The sequence below is a fragment of the Homo sapiens genome, chromosome 2 (assembly GCF_000001405.40).
Source record: "Homo sapiens chromosome 2, GRCh38.p14 Primary Assembly".
Classification (NCBI taxonomy): domain Eukaryota; kingdom Metazoa; phylum Chordata; class Mammalia; order Primates; family Hominidae; genus Homo; species Homo sapiens.
In genome coordinates this window covers 34,651,698-34,653,951 of record NC_000002.12, presented here as the reverse complement: position 1 = coordinate 34,653,951, position 2,254 = coordinate 34,651,698, and the positions used below count along the sequence as shown (strand labels likewise).

Sequence of the window (2,254 nt, the reverse complement as noted above, 5' to 3'; positions counted from 1 at the left end):
CAATACCTAGTTTATTGAGAGTTTTTAGCATGAAGGGCTGTTGAATTTTGTCAAAGGCCCTTTCTGCATCTATTGAGATAATCATGTGGTTTTTGTCTTTGGTTCTGTTTATATGATGGGTTACATTTATTGATTCGTGTACGTTGAACCAGCCTTGCATCCCAGGGATGAAGCCAACTTGATTGTGGTGGATGAGCTTTTTGATGTGCTGCTGGATTCAGTTTGCCAGTATTTTATTGAGGATTTTTGCATCGATGTTCATCAGGGATATTGGTCTAAAATTCTCTTTTTTTTGTTGTGTCTCTGCCAGGCTTTGCTATCAGGATGATGCTGGCCTCATAAAATGAGTGAAGGAGGATTCTCTCTTTTTCTATTGATTGGAATAGTTTCAGAAAGAATGGTACCAGCTACTCTTTGTACCTCTGGTAGAATTCAGCTGTGAATCCGTCTGGTCCTGGACTTTTTTTGGTTGGTAGGCTATTAATTATTGCCTCAATTTCAGAGCCTGTTATTGGTCTATTCAGAGATTCAACTTCTTCCTGGTTTAGTCTTGGGAGGGCTAAAATTGACACCCTAACATCACAATTAAAAGAATTAGAGAAGCAAGAGCAAACACATTCCTTTTCTATTTTAAATAGATTTTTTTTTTGAGACAGTCTCACTCTGTCACCCAGGCTGGAGTGCAGTGGCATGATATCAGCTCACTGAAACCTCTGCCTCCCGGGTTCTAGTGATTCTCCTGCCTCAGCTTCCTAAGTAGCTGGGATTATAGGCGGGCGCCACCACACCCAGCTAATTTTTGTATTTTTAGTAGAGACGAGGATTCCCCATGTTGGTCAGGCTTGTCTTGAACTCCTGACCTCATGATCCTCCCACCTCGGCTTCCCAAAGTGCTGGGATTAGAAGCGTGAGCCACCAGGCCCAGCCTTCAATAGAATTTTTAATTAAAATATCATTTCAAGAAAATATACAAAATTTTCTAATCAGTGCATTATGAAATATAATGTAGAACTGGATAAATAATCTGGAAAGTTCAGGTAATTTGATGAAATTTCATAAATTTACTCATTTTTTCCTCAATATAGCCTTGAAAACAGTGATGAACTCTGAGGCTGTCCATGGTGCTGAAAATTCTTCTAGTGATATAGCAGAGCATTATAGCTGCATTATGGGAGAACTCTCTTCAAGTAATATTTATATTGGTTTAATTTTCTCTCAAGCAAGTAAGAAAGTTGTATATAATAGTGGAACGAGAAGGACAATTTTAAGTTGCATTACTATACTCAGTTTGATATCCAGGGCTTCTTCCTTCTCTCTGAGTTCTTACAAATTTTTTTTAAAGATATATTTCCTAATAGACAATAATTGTCAGTAGATAATTTACAAAGAAATAAATTTAAAAGACAAGACAAAAATAAAATAATGTAAAAATAATACTAATTAAGCAGAGAGATAAAATACACACCTATCAAACAATTAAAACTTATGAAGAATTCCCAACATTGAGGAAGATACAAAAAAATGGACCCATGTAATGCTATTGAAACTGTAAACTGGTATAAAATTTTTAAGCAGAAGTTTGGCAATATGAAGCAAATAGTTGAATTATATATAGTCACAATTAAACTAATCAACTCTCAGGAGAACGGGGTAGTACATTCTCATGCCTAGTATAAGAATTTATACAATAGTGGCCCAGAACAATTGCTTGAGTTTACAGATTACTTCATCTAACAGTTGCTTATCATACAATCAAATTCAATCGAGTTTGATAGAAATTAGATTTAAATATATAGTTTTTTCTAGTTCATACATTTAAAAAGTGCAACAAAATGTAATACAGATAGTAAACCTTGAATTAAAGAGTTGATTATTTATTTTGTTTTTGTACAAAATGTACAAACATAAAATAAATTACAGAATTTTAGGGTTGGAAATTACTTTAGAAAAGTGCAAGACTTCCTTAAAGATTCCAGTAAAATTGATGATGTCAAATGTTAATTGCCAGTTGTACCCTTGCTTTTGTATAATAACCTCCTCATGGCCACAGTACATCTTTTTTACCTGAGGTTGATTTTGAATAGGAGTTCCTGCCCTTCCCTTTCCTTCAGTATTAGCAGATCTCCAATGGTGTAAGTGTATGATCCTGGGAAACCAGGTGATTTTATACCCCATCACCCAGGATAGACTTTTTTTTCTAGTACCATTCAATACAGCCACAATGAATGTTGCCTGTGTTCTGAGGAAAACAAGT

General features: G+C 35.1%; 1 annotated feature.

Annotated features, from left to right (window-relative positions):
- Nucleotides 1,023–1,223: a silencer, noted in NCBI's record as "peak3654 fragment used in MPRA reporter construct". NCBI's record gives its function as "represses an SCP1 promoter by STARR-seq MPRAs in K562 erythroleukemia cells {active_cell/tissue: K562}" and the evidence as "EXISTENCE:reporter gene assay evidence [ECO:0000049][PMID:32103011]".